The 18,764-nt window shown below is 46.8% G+C and overlaps 1 pseudogene, besides 3 other annotated features; it reads right to left on the reverse strand.

The window, feature by feature from the left end:
* Positions 7,838-7,897: an enhancer, noted in NCBI's record as "active region_26341". NCBI's record gives its function as "activates an Ori minimal core promoter by ATAC-STARR-seq in GM12878 lymphoblastoid cells {active_cell/tissue: GM12878}" and the evidence as "EXISTENCE:reporter gene assay evidence [ECO:0000049][PMID:35858748]".
* Positions 9,571-10,704, reverse strand: RPL7P60 (ribosomal protein L7 pseudogene 60; annotated as a pseudogene).
* Positions 17,927-18,539: an enhancer, noted in NCBI's record as "H3K4me1 hESC enhancer chr7:99745544-99746156 (GRCh37/hg19 assembly coordinates)". NCBI's record gives its function as "activates a minimal SCP1, AML or CMV promoter by ChIP-STARR-seq in naive H9 embryonic stem cells {active_cell/tissue: H9 hESC(naive)}" and the evidence as "EXISTENCE:reporter gene assay evidence [ECO:0000049][PMID:30033119]".
* Positions 18,564-18,623: an enhancer, noted in NCBI's record as "active region_26342". NCBI's record gives its function as "activates an Ori minimal core promoter by ATAC-STARR-seq in GM12878 lymphoblastoid cells {active_cell/tissue: GM12878}" and the evidence as "EXISTENCE:reporter gene assay evidence [ECO:0000049][PMID:35858748]".

The raw sequence follows: 18,764 nt of genomic DNA on the forward strand, positions 1-18,764 counted from the left end.
CTCACTGCAACCTCCGCCTCCTGGGTTCAAGCGATTCTTGTGCCTCAGCCACCCGAGTAGCTGGGACTACAGGCGCACACCACCACATCTAGCTAAATTTTCTATTTTTAGTAGAGACAGGGTTTCACCATGTTGGCCAGGCTGGTCTCGAACTCCTGACCTCAGGCGATCCACCCACCTCAGCCTCCCAAAGTGCTGGGATTACAGGCGTGAGTCACTGCGCCTGGCTTTTTGTATTTTTTTTTTTAAGCGGAGATGGGGTTTTGCCATGTTGGCCAGGCTGGTTGAACTCCTGACCTCAGGTGATCCAGCTGCCTCAGCCTCCCAAAGTGCTAGGATTACAGATGTTGAGCTGCCACACCTGGCCTATTATTCCTTTTCACAAATAAGAAAATACTGAAGTGCTGAGTGGTTAAGTGACTTGACCTTAAGTCAACAGAGATGACATAAATAGTAATTAGTGGCTGGGTGAGGTGGCTCACACCTGTAATCCCAGAGCTTTGGGAAGCTGAGGTGGGAGGATTGCTTGAGCCCAGGAGTTTGAGGCCAGCCTGGGCAACATAGCAAAACCCCAACTCTAAAAAAAGAAAAAAAAAATTAGTTGGGCTTGGTGGAGCCCACCTGCAGCCCCAGCTACTTGGGAGGCTGAGGCAGAAGGATCACTTGAGCCCAGGAGTTGGAGGCTGCAGTGAAGCCATGATTGCATCACTGCACTCCAGCATGGGCAACAGGTCAAGACCCTGAAAGTTATTGGCAAAGAGTAACTGGCAGAGCAGAGATTCCAACCCAGGCAATCTCGCTACAGAGGTGGACTTTACCTCTTCATGGCATTCTGAGGCGGCTCCTGCAATGAATAATAGATTGATTTCCAATCGACCAATGCAAAAGGGACACGTGGTTTTTCTTTTCTAACCAAAGAGAGCATACGCATTAGACTGGAAAGACCAGAGTTTCCTAGTGCTAAGTTCTCAGGTTGAGGACTGAGTGCCACTGGAAATTTCCCGGACGAAAAGCTGCTTGGAGCCTCCAGGGACCGGCATCCGGTAAGAGAAGGCGCTGCAGGAGCCTCCAGCTTAGCCCCCCTACCTGGGTACTTCGCCCCGGCCCCACTACCTCCAGGCATCCGAGCGGCAGCTGTTAACTTTCGTGATCTTTGGCGCCCCCTTCTGCAGGCCCGCGGAGCAGCAGCCGTCTCGACTGCCGTCCCTCTCCCGGGAGCGCAGCAGCCTCTTTCTTTCCTTTTTCTTTTCTTTTCTTTTCTTTTCTTTTCTTTTCTTTTCTTTTCTTTTCTTTTCTTTTCTTTTCTTTTCTTTTCTTTTCTTTTCTTTTCTTTTTCTTTCTTTCTCTCTTTCTTTCTCTCTTTCTCTCTTTCCTTCTTTCCTTCTTTTTCTCTCCTTCCTTCCTTCCTTTCTTTCTTTCTTTCTCTCTCTCTTTCTCTCCCCGCTTCTCTCTTTCTTTCTTTTTTTCTTTTGAGACGGAGTCTCGCTCTGTTACCCAGGCTGGAATGCAGTGGCGCGATCTCGACTCGCTGCAAGCTCTGCCTTCCAGGTTCACGCCATTCTCCTGCCTCAGCATCCCGAGTAGCTGGGACTACAGGCGCCCGCCACCACACCCGGCTAATTTTTGTATTTTTAGTAGAGACGGGGTTTCACCGTGTTAGCCACGATGGTCTCGATCTCCTGATGTCGTGATTCGCCCGCCTCCGCCTCCCAAAGTGCTGGGATTACAGGCTTGAGCAACCGCGCCGGGCCCTTTTCTTTCCTTTTCCTTTTCTTTCTTTTCTTTCTTTCTTTGTTTCTTTGTTTCTTTCTTTCTTTCTTTCTTTCTTTCTTTCTTTCTTTCTTTCTTTCTTTTTCTTTCTTCTCTCTCTCTCTTCCTTCCTTCCTTTCTTTTTTTAGAGACAGAGTCTTGGGCCGGGCACAGTGGCTCATACCTGCAAGATTCCATCTCATAAATAAATAAATAAATAAATAAATAAATAAATAAAATTTATGTAGCCATGAGGTGTCACCGTGTTGCCCAGGCTGGTCTTGAACTTCCAGGCTAAAGCAATCCTTCCACCTCATACTCTAGAGTAGCTGGGACTACAGGTACACAACACTATGCCTGGCTAATTTTTTATTTTATTTTTTATAGAGATGGGGTCTCACTGTGTTGCCTGGGCTCAAGTGATTCTCTCGCCTTGGCCTCTCAAAGTACTGGGATTACAGGCATGAGCCATTGCGCCCAGCCTGGAAGGAGGTTTTGGTTCACCAAACATAATCCTCCTCTTGCTGGTAGGTCTCCAGCAGGTGCTCCACTTATACTGGCATATACGGTCTTATACTGGCTCTGACCCAAAGCCTAGTGTCTAAGCCACCACCAAACACATCTGCAGGTCCCTTCTTGTGTTTAAAACTATATGTCTGTGGCTGGGCGTGGTGGCTTACGCCTGTAATCCCAGCACTTTGGGAGGCTGAGGGGGGTGGGTCACTTGACGTCAGGAGTCCGAGACCAGCCTGGCCAGCATGGTGAAATCCTATCTCTACTAAAAATACAAAAATTAGCTCGGCGTGGTAGCATGCACCTATAATCCCAGTTACTCGGGAGGCTGAGGTAGGAGAATCGCTTGAACACGGGAAGTGGAGGTTGCAGTGAGTCGATTGTGCCACTGAACTCCAGCCTGGATGACAGAGGGAGACTCCATCTCAAAAAACAAACAAACAAAAAACAACTGTATGTCTGTGGGTTTTGCTAAATCCCACAGAGAATAACTCGCATCTCTGTCTCCTGATCCTCACTGGTGCACCTGCACACCCTCCCCTTGCCACCAGAGGGGAGTCTAGGCTTGCCTCCAACTCCCTGGTCTCCAGCTCTCCCTACCCCTGACAAACCCTTCCTTCTCTGTGCCTCAAAACCTGGAGTAAATCCCCCTTTCCCCTCCTATCTCCTCTGTTGGCAACCCTGCTTCTACCATCTCCATCCTAGACGTAGAACAAGGAGCTTGTTTACACACAGAAGAAAGAGAGGCGCTGAGTTAGGGAGTAGCTAATGAAAGTGGATCTCTGAGGTCCTGGGGATTCCTTGCACAGTGGGCTAAAAAGAGGGAGAGATGCCAGAGAAGATAGACAGATCACAAAGGGCAAAGCTGCATAAATGCACAGATCAAAGGGAGAACTGGGAAAGTGTTACCAGATGGTGCCGTGCAATTCCAGGCTCTTGGTGTCCCGAACAAAGAATTGGACGAGACACAAACAGATAGCAAAGCAAAGCAGCAAAACTGTATTAAGCACAGTATTCCACTCTCGGAGGGCAGAGCAGAGTGACCTCTGCCAGATGAGATCAGCATTAGTTTGGTGTACTTTTTTTTTTTTTTTTTTAGACGGAGTCTCTGTCGCCCAGGCTGGAGTGCTTTGGTGCAATCTCGGCTCAGTGCAGCCTCCACCTCCCAGGTTCAAGCAATTCTCCTGCCTCAGCCTCCTGAGTAGCTGGGATTATAGGCACACGCCACCACGCCCGCCTAATTTTTGTATTTTTAGTAAAGATGGGGTTTCATCATGTTGGCCAGGCTGGTCTTGAACTCCTGACCTCAAATTATCCACCCGCCTTGGCCTCCCAAAGTGCTGGGATTACAGGCGTGAGCCACCGTGCCTGGCCATGAAGCTTGAAGTTGTTTATTAGACATCGGACCTGTGCTCAAGACCCCAGGTAGAAAATTTTTAAAATCCAGGCCAGGCGCGGTGGCTCATGCCTGTAATCCCAGCCCTTTGGGAGGCCGAGATAGGCAGATCACGAGGTCAGGAGATGGAGACCATCCTGGCTAACATGGTGAAACCCTGTCTCTACTAAAAATACAAAAAATTAGCCGGGCATGGTGGCGGGTGCCCGTAGTCCCAGCTACTCAGGAGGCTGAGGCAGGAGAATGGCGTGAATCCGGGAGGTGGAGGTTGCAGTGAGCTGAGACTGTGCCAGTGCACTCCAGCCTGGGTGACAGAGCGAGACTCTGTCTCAAAAAAAAAAAAAAAATTTTAATCCAAGGATCAGTAAGAAACCATCAATGTAGAAGATGTATATCAATAATGGCAGTTTTTGAAGTTTCCAGTTGCATGATTAAATAATTAGAAGCTGTGTTCAGCAGTGTTTGTAATATATAATGAAATAATTCTACAACTCATCATCATGTAGAATCAGTGGGAGCCCTGAGCTTGTTTTCCTGCAACTAGAGACCAGCCTGGCCAACATGGTGAAACCCTGTCTCTACTAAAAATACAAAAATTAGCTGGGCGTGGTGGTGTGCGCCTGTAATCCCAGCTACTCGGGAGGCTGAGGCAGGAGAATTGCTGGAACCCGGGAGGCGGAGGTTGCAGTGAGCCGAGAATGTGCCACTGCACTCCAGCCTGGGCAACAGAATGAGACTCTGTCTAAAAAAAAAAAAAAAAAGAAAAAGCAACTGCTGTCTACTCTCCAATTTCTCTCCCTGCAGCCCCACCTTTAATTGGGAGTTTTTGTCCTTCTCAGCATTTAGTTTTTGGGGCTAAGGGAAAACCCAGGAATTCAGACCATCATCTCTTAGAAATTCCAGACATCCGGCCAGGCACGGTGGCTCACGCCTGTAATCCCAGCACTTTGGGAGGCTGAGGCGGGCGGATCATGAGGTCAGGAGATCGAGACCATCCTGGCTAACACAGTGAAACCCCGTCTCTACTAAAAATACAAAAAATTAGCCGGGCGTGGTGGCCGGCGCCTGTAGTCCCAGCTACTTGGGAGGCTGAGGCAGGAGAATGGCGTGAACCCGGGAGGCGGAGCTTGCAGTGAGCCAAGATCATGCCACTGTACTCCAGCCTGGGCGACAGAGTGAGACTCTGTCTCAAAAAAATAAATAAGTAAATAAATAAATTCCAGACATCCTACCACTCAGTTGATCCTTTTCTTTTTTTTTCTTTCTTCCTTTTACCTTTTTTTTTTTTTTTTTTTTTTGAGACAGGATCTCACTCTGTCACCCAGGCTGGTGCAGTGGGGGTGATCATAGCTTGCTGCAGCCTCGACCTCCCAGACTCAAGTGATCCTCCCACCTCAGACTCCCAAGTAGCTGGGACCACAGGCACTTGCCACCATGCCCAGCTAATTTTTTGATTTTTTGTAGAGACAGAGTCTCTCCCAGGGTACTGGGATTACAGACTTGAGCTGCCATGCCCAGCATGAATGCTTTTTTTCTAAGTCTGAATTTTCATTGTCGTCTTCTTTTTTTTTTTTTCTGAGACAGAGTCTCTCTCTGTAGCCCAGGCTAGAGTGCAGTGGCACCATCTCGGCTCACTGCAACCTCTGCCTCAAACAATTTTCCTGCCTCAGCCGCCAGACTGGGACTACAGGTGCATGCCACCATGCCTGGCTAATTTTTGTATTTTTTATTTTTTTAAATTTTATTTTATAAATTATATATATATATATATATATATATATTTTTTTTTTTTTTTTTTTTTTTTTTGAGACGGAGTCTAGCTCTGTTGCCCAGGCGGGAGTGCAGTGGCGTGGCGTGATCTCAGCTCACTGCAACCTCCGTTGTCCAGGTTTAAGCAATTCTCCTGCCTTAGCCTCCCGAGTAGCTGGGATTACAGGTGCCCACCACCACGCCCAGCTAATTTTTGTATTGTTAGTACAGATGGGGTTTCACCATGTTGACCAGGCTGGTCTCGAACTCATGACCTCAGGCGATCTGCCCGCCTTGGCCTCCCAAAGTGCTGGGATTACAGGCATGAGCCACTGTGCCCAGCCCCAGATCATGATTTTAATCCATACTGATTGCTTGACAAATAGAAGAAATACACTGCTCCCTAAACCTGAGTCTGTCCATGTGTCTGTTTCCCCTGCCTACATTTTCTTTCTGAAATTTAAATCCCCTTCCCCCATTGCAGGATACTCCTCAACCCTTGCTCCCCTCCCTCTGTAAGTCCCCAAAGCCTTGTGTCCTCTTTTCATAAAAAACTCACAGGGTAGCGTCCTGGTGATGTTTCACCTACTGCCAAAGTACAGCATCTGAAAATGTGTGGAAGATGTGGCTGGTCAAGCACCCAGAAGGAAGTTCAGTGGGGAGAAAGGCAGCTGCCTGAGGAAGGAGAGAACCACACTTCTTAGTAGAGTAAATGTAGAGTCTGGGAATGCAAGCGCAAAGAAGGAATAAGGCTGCCGGCAAGAGGAACCTAATGACTGTGGAACTTAATGGTCCAGACCCCCAGGAAAAGAATAATCACCTCCTCCTCCCACTCACCCACCAGAAAGCATTTTTGTTTGTTTGTTTGTTTGAGACGGAGTCTCATTGTGTCACCCAGACTGGAGTGTAGTGGCGCCATGCAACCTCCGCCGCCCGGGTTCAAGCGATTCTCCTGCCTCAGCCTCCTGAAGAGCTGGGATTATAGGCACACGCCACCACACCCAGCTAATTTTTGTGTTTTTGGTAGAGATGGGGTTTCATCATGTTGGCCAGGCTGGTCACAAACTCCTGACCTCAAGTGATCCGCCCGCCTTGGCCTCCCAAAGGTCGGATTTACAGGTGTGACCCACCACGCCCAGCCCAGAAAGCCTTTTCTACTGGATATCTGTAGAAGAAAGCAATGCCCTGGGGAGAGGGTTGCGTTTCTCTGCTTTCTAGAAAGAAACTGGACTTGAAGGCAGTACCTAAGTATATAAAGAAATTATGCAGGGATGGATGGTATATTGAGCTCTATGGCTTGAGCTCAGGAGTTTGAGACCAGCCTGGCAGCAAAGTGAGACCCTATTACTACAAAAAATACAAAAATTAGCTGGGCATGGGGGCGCACATCTGTAGTCTCAGTTACTCAGGAGGCTGAAGTGGGAGGATCACTTGAGCCCAGGAGTTGGAGGCTGCAGTAAGCTATGATTGCACCACTGCACTCCAGCCTAGGCAACAGAGCAAGACCCCATCTCAAAAAAATAAACAATTAAAAAATTAAAAAGTTGCTTCATGTGACCAATATGTTTTTTATTTTATTTATTTTTTTTCTGGGACGGAATCTCCCTCTGTCGCCCAGGCTGGAGTGCAGTGGCGCGATCTTGGCTCACTGCAGCCTCCACCTCCTGGGTTCAAGTGATTCTCCTGCCTCAGCCTCACAAATAGCTGGGACTAAGGCGCATGCCACCATGCCTGGCTAATTTTTTTTATTTTTAGTAGAGATAGGGTTTCACCATATTGGTCAGGCTGGTCTGGAACTCCCGCCCTCAGGTAATCCGCCTGCCTCGGCCTCCCAAAGTGCGGAGATTACAGGTGAGCCACTGCACCCGGCCACAGCAATATGTTTAGACTTACGTTTTCTAGCAGCAAGGCCAACACTAAAGGTTATAAGATGTTTTCTTGCTTTTTAAAATTTGTTCTTTCTTTTTTTTTTTTTAATTATTTTTTTTGAAATGGAGTCTCACTCTGTCGCCCAGGCTGGAGTGCAGTGGCGCAATCTCGGCTCATTGCAAGCTCCATCTCCCGGGTTCGCGCCATTCTCGCCTTGGCCTCTGGAGTAGCTGGGACTACAGGCGCCTGCCACCACACCCGGCTAATTTTTTGTATTTTTTAGTAGGAACGGGGTTTCACCGTGTTAGCCAGGATGGTCTCGATCTCCTGATCTTGTGATCCGCCCGCCTTGGCCTCCCAAAGTGCTGGGATTACAGGCGTGAGCCACCACGCCCGGCCCACTTTTTTTTTTTTTAAACACATATATTTACATATTTTTTTCTAGTGCCAAAAGTAAAATGTTTTATTTCCCTGTAAGGTAAGATACAAATTTGTCTGGAGAAAAAGTCCTGTTAACTAAAATATTAATACAAGGTACAAAGACGAAAGTAGAGTTGTTTGGAGAAAACTTGAGATAATAGAGTCCCTGAGGGTAAAGTAGGGTCATTGTTGCAAAAACTGAGGGAGGAAGGTTGTGCTCAAGGGTTTATAAGGTAGTGGTTCAGCATGCTGGTTTCTTTCCAGGTCAGTAGGTTCCATCATAAGCTGTGGTCACATTCAGCTACCTGTTCCATTGAGTGATCAAACAAGGTTGGGAGCTGAATACACACACACACAAAAATCTTCACCTGAAGCCATATCTAGGTGGTGACAGGCACCTGCTTTCCCCTAGGGTATATATTGCAAGTCACTGGCTCTTAGCCCTGCTGCTAGTCCAGGAAGTAACTTCGTGTGTCTAGAAACCTACACCTTCCTGAAGCGCGTTAGTCCCATCTGCCAGGAAATCAGCCTTCCAAAATGTACAAACCTTTTTTACAAAATAAAGCCTGAGCTTCAGCTGAGATGCTTTGGGAGAAATGAATTGTTCAGTTTTATCTGAAGCCATTTTTAGAAATTATAATGCACAAATCTGAGCCCGGTGTATGAAGTCCTTGGGGACCTTCTTGCTTTATTCTGCTGCCTCACCTCTTGCCTCATCCCATCCCCAACTCAAACATTTTTCTGTGTGATTTATGTTATACCTGGGCATCTCTGTTCCCCAGCCGTGAGTGCCCTTCTGACACTCTGTACCTGGCTGACACAAAGTCCTCTTTGAGAACGCAGCTTAGATATCTCCCCTTTGGGTGGGGCACGATGGTTCATGCCTGTAATCCCCAGCACTCTGGGAGGCTGAGGCGGGCAGATCAGTTGAGGCCCGGAGTTGAAAACCAGCCTAGTCAACATGGTGAAACCCCACATCTACTAAAAATACAAAAATTAGCTGGTACGGTGGTGCGCACCTACTCCCAGCTACTCGGGAGGCTGAGGCTGGAGCATCGCTTGAACCCAGGAGGTGGAGGTTGCAGTGAGCCGAGATTGAGCCACTACACTTCACTTCAGCCTAGGCAAAAGGGTGAGACCCCATCTCCAACAACAACAAAAAAGATATCTCCTTTTTTTTTTTTTTTTTTTTGAGATGGAGTCTAGCTCTGTTGCCCAGGCTGGTGTGCAATGGCACAATCTCGGCTCACTGCAACCTCCGCCTCCCAGGTTCAAGCAATCCTCCTGCCTCAGCCCCCCCAGTAGCTGAGATTACAGGCACGTGCCACCACGCCCAGCTAATTTTTGTATTTTTAGTAGAGACGAGGTTTCGCCATGTTGACCAGGCTGGTCTCGAACTCCTGACCTCAGGTGATCCACCTGCCTCGGCCTCCCAAAGTGCTGGGATTACAGGCGTGAGCTACTGTGCCTGGCCAAGATATCTCCTTTTTGTGGAATTCTTCCCACAACCCCAAAGGCTGAGTCACATACCTTTCCTGTGTATTCTCACTTCTTTTTTTTTTTTTTTAAGATGGAGTCTCGCTCTGTCGCCCAGGCTGGAGTGCAGTGGTGCGATCTTGGCTCACTGCAAGCTCCACCTCCTGGGTTCAAGCGATCCTCCTGATTCAGCCTCCTGAGTAGCTGGGATTACAGGCACCCGCCACCACGCCCAGCTAATTTTTTTTTTTTTTTTGTATTTTTAGCAGAGACGGGGTTTCACCATGTTAGCCAGGATGGTCTCGATCTTCTGACCTCGTGACTCACCTGCCTTGGCCTCCCAAACTGCTGGGATTACAGGTGTGAGCCACCGCGCATGGACTTTTTTTTTTTTTTTCTCAATTTGAGAGCAGTTACTGTTTATTAACTGAAAACATTAGAACAATAATCATGGTAGACACCTTAGTTCATCTAATAAGTCTGTTGATCTGGTCCTCTCTGTTGCCAGTATCTCCACCTTCTACAAAATGGGTGGTCTTTTTCTTCATTCTACCTCGTGGAGAGGATAATTGAAAGGAGCATGGGAAGTTATTTGCTTCTTTGAAGCATTTTCCAACAGTATAGATCTTATGAATCAGATCCTCCATGTAGGTGATGCCATGTTTACCAAGAGATCAAGCAATCAAGTGTTATCTGTCAAAGCAATTCACTTCTTATTGATTTTGCCATAACCACACTTGTAGATTAGTTCAATTACTGACTTCAGATTTGGGTATCCCCATGCAATATATGGTTCCACAATCCTCAGCATGTTTTTTGTTTGTTTGTTTGAGATGGAGTCTTGCTCTGTCACCTAGGGTGGAGCGCAGTGGCGCGATCTTGGCTCACTGCAACCTCTGCCTCCCGAGCTCAAGCGATTCTCCTGCCTCAGCCTCCCAAGTAGCTGAGGCTACAGGCACACACCACCATGTGCGGCTAATTTTTTTGTTTTTTAATTATTTTTAGTAGAGACGAGGTTTCACCATGTTGACCAGGCTGGTCTCCAACTCCTGACCTCAAGTGATCGTACTGCCTCAGCTTCCCAAAATGCTGAGATTACCAGCGTGAAGCACCGTGGCTGGCATCAGCATATTAATTGAAGCCTTGTAGAGCTTCACAAAGGTTCCATTGAAGATTTGAGGAAGATGAAGAAGCTGCAACACCTTTCGGACCTTTGGGCTCACACCATTGATACTGCTGATCCTGATGACCAATGCCAATTTGTGTTCTGCAGGTACACAGAAGTTGCTAGCTTTTCTTGTCATCTTAGCCATTTGAATTTCAGTTCTGTCCATTCGCCTATAGTCCTTGTGATAGTGCTTCGCTTTTTCCTACCTAAGCTTCCTCCTGGCCTCTTGAAGCATCTTTAGGCAAACTTATTTCTCAGGTGCTTGATCTTCAGCTCTGCAAAATTCCTTCGCTTTTTCTTAAGGGTTTCTGGCACAGCAGGAACCTTCTTCTTTTCAACACCCTCCATGGTTCCAGTTGGAAAAGAGCCTCATAGGTCACTTTTTTTTTTTTTTTTTTGAGATAGAGCCTTGTTATGGAGTGCAATGGTGTGATCTCAGCTTGCTGCAACCTCCGCCTCCCGGGTTTAAACAATTCTCCTGCCTCAGCCTCCCGAGTAGCTGGGATTATAGGCACGTACCACCACACCCAACTAATTTTTGTATTTTTAGTAGAGACGGGGTTTCTCTATGTTGGCCAGGCTGGTCTCAAACTTCTGACCTCAGGTGATCTGGCCCGCCTTGGCCTCCCAGAGTGCTGGGATTATAGGCATAAGCCACTTCGCCCAGCCCTCACAGGCTCATTTTTTTTGTTGTTTGTTTGTTTTTGAGAGGGAGTTTCGCTCTTGTTGCCCAGGGTGGAATACGATGGCGCAATCTCGGCTCACCGCAACCTCCACCTCCTGGGTTCAAGTGATTCTCCTTCCTGCCTCAGCCTCCCGAGTAGCCGGGATTACAGGCATGCGCCACCACGCCCGGCTAATTTTGTATTTTTAGTAGAGATGGATTTCTCCATGTTGATCAGGCTGGTCTCAAACTCCTGACCTCAGGTGATACACCCACCTTGGTCTCCCAAAGTGGTGAGATTACAGATGTGAGCCACCGTGTCTGCCCCATAGCTCACTTCTAATCATGACAGTCACCATATGAAACTGAAGCTGCCAGTTACTGGGGCAGCACAATCACACACTCTGATTAGTCATTGCTTTTCCTCTCAAGAAACTGAAGCTAATTCTGGCTGATTACAGATAAAGGGAATTAATAAAAGGATCCTGGGCAGCCCACATAAGTATTAGGAGAATGGAGATGAAAACTTGAATGCTGATCTTCCAAGAACTATGTCCTAAAATCATGCTCAGACCCCCAGTGCTGCAGCCCTACTCATTGGGGTAGGAGAGACTCCTGCTGTCATTCACACTGCACCAAGGATGCATGCCTTTCTGTGCCAGGAGTCTAGCCTCGCAAACTACCACCACTATTGAGGGCCAGGTGCCTCTAATACCACCCTCACCAGCAAAATGGATCCCATGTGGACCTCATTTTCAAGTTGCTCACGTGTGCATTGAAGGAAGTGATATTATGAAAGCCAAGATGAGATAAGATTTCCCAATAAAGGAAGGTGTGGTTGGTCTATGCTGTTTACTAAGCGTGAAAAAAAAGAACAATCTGCAAATGAACTGTGGCTTTTGGCCTGACTACCCCCAATAAAGACAACTGAAAAAAGATTTAAAATAAAAATATTTATGGCTGGGCACAGTGGCTCACACCTGTAATCCCAGCACTTTGGGAGGCCAAGGCGGGTGGATCACCTGAGGTCAGGAGTTCGAGACCAGCCTGGCCAACATGGCAAAACTCCATGTGTACTAAAAATACAAAAATTCACCAGGCATGCTGGTGCACACCTGCAATCTCAGCTACTTGGGAGGCTGAGGTAGGAGAATCGTTTCAACCCAGGAGGTGGAGGTTGCAGTGAGCCGAGATTGTGCCACTGCACTCCAGCCTGGGTGACACAGAGAAACTCTGTCTCAAAAAATAAAATAAAATAAAAATATTTAAAATGCATCAAAGACCTTGTATGACACTGAAGAATTATCAGGAGAGAACAGGGAAAAGGACTGGAGCTCAAATAGATGGCTTAGGGGTGATTCTAAACCAGGGATATTTGTGAGTAAAGACAGCAGAGACATAAAGCTTGGCTTTTGCCATTCTCAAGAGTAGAGTGGGCCGGGTACAGTGGCTCATGCCTGTAATCCCAGCAGGTGGTAGGCCAAGGTGGGAAGATCACATGAGCCCAGGAGTTTTACACCAGCCTGGGCAAAATAGTAAGACCCCATCTCTTTAAAAAAAAAAAAAAAAAAAAACAGCCAGGTGTGGTGGCATGCACCTGTAGTCCCAGCTACTTGGGGGGCTGAGGCAGGAGGATCGCTTGAACCTGGGAGGTCAAGGCTGCATTGAGCTGAGATTGCGACACTGCACTCCAGCCTGGGTAACAAGGTGAGACCCCGTGTCCAAAAAACAAGAGAGATAGAGTGAACATGGGTGAAAGTCCTTCAGCAACTGGGAAGGTAAACTTTAGAGAAGCATCTTCTGCTGTTTGTTGAGACTCTAATCCATGGGCATTCACTGAAAGGCAGAGATGTATTTTTGGTGGCTTTCATGCATTAGCACAATGGGAGTTGGAGCTTAACGTTCACCAAATGGAAGATGCTATGTAACAGTCCCTGTACTGGGTTGAAAACTGAAGAATTTTACTCTGTTTGTTGGGGTAGACTGTACTCCCAGGAATTTTTCTGTGTGGCCACAGAACTTCAAACCATGTGTCTGAACTGTTAAATACCTTAGATATCTAATAGTGGAAACTGTTCAGAGTAAGATAATAGTGCCTTAGGTCTTAACGGTATACATAAAAGTATTTTTTCAAATAAAATGTCCAGAAAACAATCAAATATCACAAAGCAGGTAATAAAGCAGGGCAGCCAGAACAATAGAAACAACAGACTACAGAAACATGGACACACACAGACACACAAGGACTCCAGATGTTGGAATTATCAGACACAGATTGTAACACTTACTATGTTGAAGGAAATGAAAGTCCAATTTTAAGATCTCAGTGGCCGGGCAGTGCAGCTCACACCTGAAATTCCAGCACTGTGCAAGGCTGAGGCACAGATCACTTGAGACCAGGAGTTCAAGAGCAGCCTGGGCAACATAGCGAGACCTCATCTCTGTAACAAACAATAACAAACAAAAATTTAAAAATAAGTTTGTGGATTTAGGCATGTTTGTTATGTTTCAATTCACTGCAGTTATTGTCCTGATTGATTTCAAAATATTCTTTTTTTTTTTTTGTCCAGTGGAAGCCTCTTCAAGTTGGCCTTTGAGTTCTTTTGACACAACCCTAGTCACCAATAAAGTTATCTTTTTATTTATTTATTTATTTGTCTATTCTTTGAGAAGGAGTCACATTCTGTTGTCCAGGCTGGAGTGCAGTGGTGTGATCTCCATTCACTGCAACCTCCACCTCCCGGATTCAAGCGATTCTCCTGCCTCAGCCACCTGAGTAGCTGGGATTACAGGCACATGCCACCACGCCTGGCTAATTTTTATATTTTTAGTAGAGACGGGGTTTCAAAGTGTTGGCCAGGCTGGTCTTTAACACCTGACCTCGTGATCCGCCTGCCTCGGCCTCCCAAAGTGCTGAGATTACAGGCGTAAACCACTGCGCCCAGCCTAAAGTTATCTTTAACTTCATTCTGTGGTTTTATTATTACTTTTTCCTTTTTTTTTTTTTTGAGACTGAGTCTCGCTCTATCATCCGGGCTGGAGTGCAGTAGTGCGATCTTGGCTCACTGCAACCTCTGTCTCCCAGGTTCAAGGCCTGAGCCTCCCGAGTAGCTGGGATTACAGGTGCCTGCCAATATGTGCAGCCAATTTTTGAATTTTTAGTAGAGACAGGATTTGGCCGCTATCGGGGGAAATTCACCCCCAATATTTCACATAGCTTCTTTTCTATATTCCCTAAGAGTCGGCCGGTCTGAGAAATAAAGGGACAGAGTACAAAAAAGAGAAATTTTAAAGCTGGGTGTCCAGGGAAGACATCACATGTCGGCAGGTTCCGTGATGACTAATAAAAACCAGCAAGTTTTTATTAGTGATTTTTTCAAAAGGGGAGGGAGTGTACGAATAGGGTGTGGGTCACAGAGATCACATGCTTCACAAGGTAATAAGATATCACAAGGTAAATGGAGGCAGGGCGAGATCACAGGACCACAAGACGGGACAAATTAAAATTGCTAATGAAGTTTCGGGCACGCATTGTCATTGATAACATCTTATCAGGAGACAGGTTTGAGCAGACAACTGGTCTGACCAAAATTTATTAGGCGGGAATTTCTTCGTCCTAATAAGCCTGGGAGCGCTACGGGAGACTGGGGCTTATTTCATCCCTACAGCTTCGACCATGAAAGACGGCCGCCCCACAAAGCGGCCATTTCAGAGGCCTACCCTCAGGGACACACTCTCTTTCTCAGGGATGCTCCTTGCTGAGAAAAAGAATTCAGCAATATTTCTCCCATTTGCTTTTGAAAGAAGAGAAATATGGCACTGTTCCACCCGGCTCACCGGCAGTCAGAGTTTAAGGTTATCTCTCTTGTTCCCTGAACATTGCTGTTATCCTGTTCTTTTTTCAAGGTGCCCAGATTTCATATTGTTCAAACACACATCCTCTACAAACAATTTGTGTTAACACAATCATCACAGGGTCCTGAGGTGACATACATCCTCCTCAGCTTACCAAAATGACGGGATTAAGAGATTAAAGACAGGCATAGGAAATCACAAGGGTATTGATTGGGGAAGTGATAAGCGTCCATGAAATCTTCACAATTTACATTCAGAGATTGCAGTAAAGACAGGCGTAAGAAATTATAAAAGTATTAATTTGGGGAACTAATAAATGTCCATGAAATCTTCACAATCCACGTTCTTCTGCCATGGCTTCAGCCAATCCCTCCGTTTGGGGTCCCTGACTTCCCACAACAGGCCACGTTGGCCAGGCTGGTCTCAAACTCCTGAGCTAAAAAATTAGCCGGGCGTGGTGGCAGACGCCTGTAGTCCCAACTACTCGGGAGGCTGAGGCAGGAGAATGATGTGAACCCGGGAGGAGGAGTTTGCAGTGAGCTGAGATCACGCCACTGCACTCTAGCCAGCCTGGGCGGGAAAAAAAAAAAAAAAAAAAGAGAGAGACAAACTCAATAGAAAAATGAGAAAAGAGTTGAACTGGGCCGGCATGGTGGCTCATGCCTGTAATCCCAGCACTTTGGGAGGCCGAGGTGGGTAGATCACTTAAGGTCAGGAGTTTGAGACCAGCCTGGCCAACATGGTCAACATGGTGAAACCCCCTTTCTACTAAAAACCCAAAAAAATTAGTCGTGCCTGGTGGTGCGTGCCTGTAATCCCAGCTACTCGGGAGGCTGAGGCAGGAGGATTGCTTGAACCTGGGAGGTGGAGGTTGCAGTGGGCCGAGATCGCACCACCGCTCTCTAGCCTGGGCAACAGAGGAAGACTATCTCAAAAAAAAAATAAATAAATAAGCCAGTTGCAGTGGCTCATGCCTGTAATCGTAGCACTTTGGGAGGCCGAGGCAGGTGGATTGCTCTGAGCTCAGGAGTTCAAGACCAGCCTGGGCAACACGGTGAAACCCCGTCTCTACTAAAAATACAAAAAAAAAAGCCGGGATGGCAACGTGCCCCTGTAGTCCCAGCTACTTGGGAGGCTGAGGCAAGGGAATTGCTTGAATCCAGGAGGCGGAGGTTGCAGTGAGCCAAGAGCGCACCATTGCACTCCAGCCTGGGCAACATAGCAAGACTCTGTCTCAAAAAAAAAAAAAAGTTGAACTGATACTTCACAAAAGATGATATCCCAAAAGCCAAACCTGTCTGAAAATGTGATCAACCTCATTAATATTTAGGTAAATGCAAATAAAAACTACAATGAGAAGCCATCGCATATCCAAAAACTTTACCCTAAAAGTGTGGCAATACTGGCTGGGCATGGTGGCTCAGGCCTGTAATCCCAACACTTTGGGAGGCTGATGCAGGCAGATCACGAGGTCAAGAGATCAAGACTATCCTGGCCAACATGGTGAAACCCATCTCTACTAAAAATACAAAAATTAGCTGGGTGTGGTGGTGCGCTCCTGTAGTCCCAGCTACTCGGGAGGCTGAGGCAGAAGAATTGCTTGAACCCGGGAACCAGGAGGTGGAGGTTGCAGTGAGCTGAGATTGCGCCACTGCACTCCAGCCTGGGCAACAGAACAAGACTGTCTCAAAAAAAAAACAAAAAACAAAAAGTGTGGCAATACCATGTGTTAATGGAGCTGGAGATAACTGGGAACTCTGACACATTGCTAGAGGAGTGTGAGTTGGTCCAACCAGTTTGATTTGCAGACCATAGATAAAAAAGATAGGAAACTCTCTGATTCATTTTATCTGGCAACCTGCTCTTTCTACCAAAAGCAGATAAAGAATATACCAAAAAGAAACTACAGCCCAATCTCATTTATCATAATAGATTTTAAAAATTCTAAATAAAGCAGTAAAACAAATGGGTAGTATAATTTGTTCCAGCAGATTTTATTCCAGAAACACAAAGATGGTTAAATATCAAGAATACTGCCACCATAATTTATTACATCAAAATCTTTTTTTTTTCTTTTGAGACGGAGTTTCATTCTTGTTGCCCAGGTTGGAGTGCAATGGCACAATCTCAGCTCATTGCAACCTTCGCCTCCTGGATTCAAGGATTCTCCTGCCTCAGCCTCCCCAGTAGCTGGGATTACAGGCATGCACCACCACACCCACCTAGTTTTTTTTTTTTTTGTTTGTTTGTTTTGTATTTTTAGTAGTGATGAGGTTTCACCATGTTGGCCAGGCAGGTCTCGAACTCCTGACTTCAGGTGATCCACCCGCCTTGGTCTCCCAAAGTGCTGGGATTACAGGTGTGAGCTACCACGCCCAGCCTTGAAATTGCTGTTTCTAACAAGTCTTAAAAGACACCCAGACTTTAACAATTGTTATTATATTCAGATTTTTTTGTTGCTTTTTGAGACAATCTTGCTCTTTTACCCAGTCTTGAGTGCAGTAGCATGATCATGGCTCACTGCAGCCTCAACCTCCTGGGCTCAAGCGATTCTCCCACCTCAGCCTCCCGGGTAGCTGGGACTACATGTGCAGTATCATGCCTGGTTAATTTTTAAATTTTTAGAGATGGGGTCTTGCTATGTTGCCCAGGCTTCTAGAATCATTCTTCATATTATTTCACTAACACAGCCTCCACCACATTAATATGGCAACAGGTTTAGAAATTATTTAAAACAAAAATTTCTAATGTTTACATATATTGTGTGATGTGTGTGTGTGTGTGTGTGTGTGTGTGTGTGTGTATCATTCCAAGGTACTGTTTCTAATTTTTTCCTGTAGGGAATGAATATTCAGTATTGCAGCTGCATTGGCTAGCTGGGGATTCTATTTACCACCACATTGTCCCGGACTGAATCTGGGGACAAAAAAACCACTTCGGGAACAAATTCTTGTCTTCAACAAAGAGCTGTCTTGAGTAGGCACAAAAGTAGCATTTGAGGGCCGGACGCGGTGGCTCAAGCCTGTAATCCCAGCACTTTGGGAGGCCGAGGCGGGCGGATCACGAGGTCAGGAGTTTGAGACCAGCCTGGCCAATATGGTGAAACCCTATCTCTACTAAAAACACAAAAATAGCCGGGCGTGGTGGTGGGCGCCTGTAATCCCAGCTACTCGCGAGGCTGAGGCAGGAGAATTGCTTGAACACGGGAGGCGGAAGTTGTATTGAGCCAGAGATCGCGCCATTGCACTGCAACCTGGGCGACCGAGTGAGACTCCGACTCAAAAAAAAAAAAAAGTAGCATTTGAGTACCTTTTTTTTCCTTTTCTTTTCTTTTTTTTTTAGAGGAAGGGCACCCAGGCTGGAGTGCAGTGGCACCATAATAGCTCACTGCACTCTGCAACTGCTGAGCTCAAGAGATTCTCCTCCATCAGCCTCCCTAGTAGCTGGAATTACTGGCGTGAGGCACCATGCCCGGCTTATTTTCTTATTTTTTTGTAGAGGTGGTTGGAGCGGGGGGACTGGGGAGGGTCTCGCTATGTTGCTCAGGCTCGTCTCGAACTCTTGCCCTGAAATGATCCGTCCTCGGCCTCGCAAAGCGCTGAGATTACAGGCGTGAGCCACGGCGCCCAGCCTTGAATAGTTTTTCACATGCATTGCACGTTATTTCCTTTTATTCTCTAGTTTTTGGGTCCAGTCTTAAACCTGGGAAGGGATTCATTTGGGGGGGTCACACCAGCGGGCATCCTGGCTCAGGCGGAACTCTGGCTCCAGACAGTGCGCCCAGGACCAAACGGTCAACCCCGGCCTACTCCCGCCCCTCCCAGATCCTCCCCTCCTCGGACGCTCCCGCGTCTTCCTCTCGCTCAGGCACTGAGGGGCGGGGAGATGGGTGTTAAAGAGGGGAT

Source organism: Homo sapiens, chromosome 7, assembly GCF_000001405.40.
Source record: "Homo sapiens chromosome 7, GRCh38.p14 Primary Assembly".
NCBI lineage: Eukaryota > Metazoa > Chordata > Mammalia > Primates > Hominidae > Homo > Homo sapiens.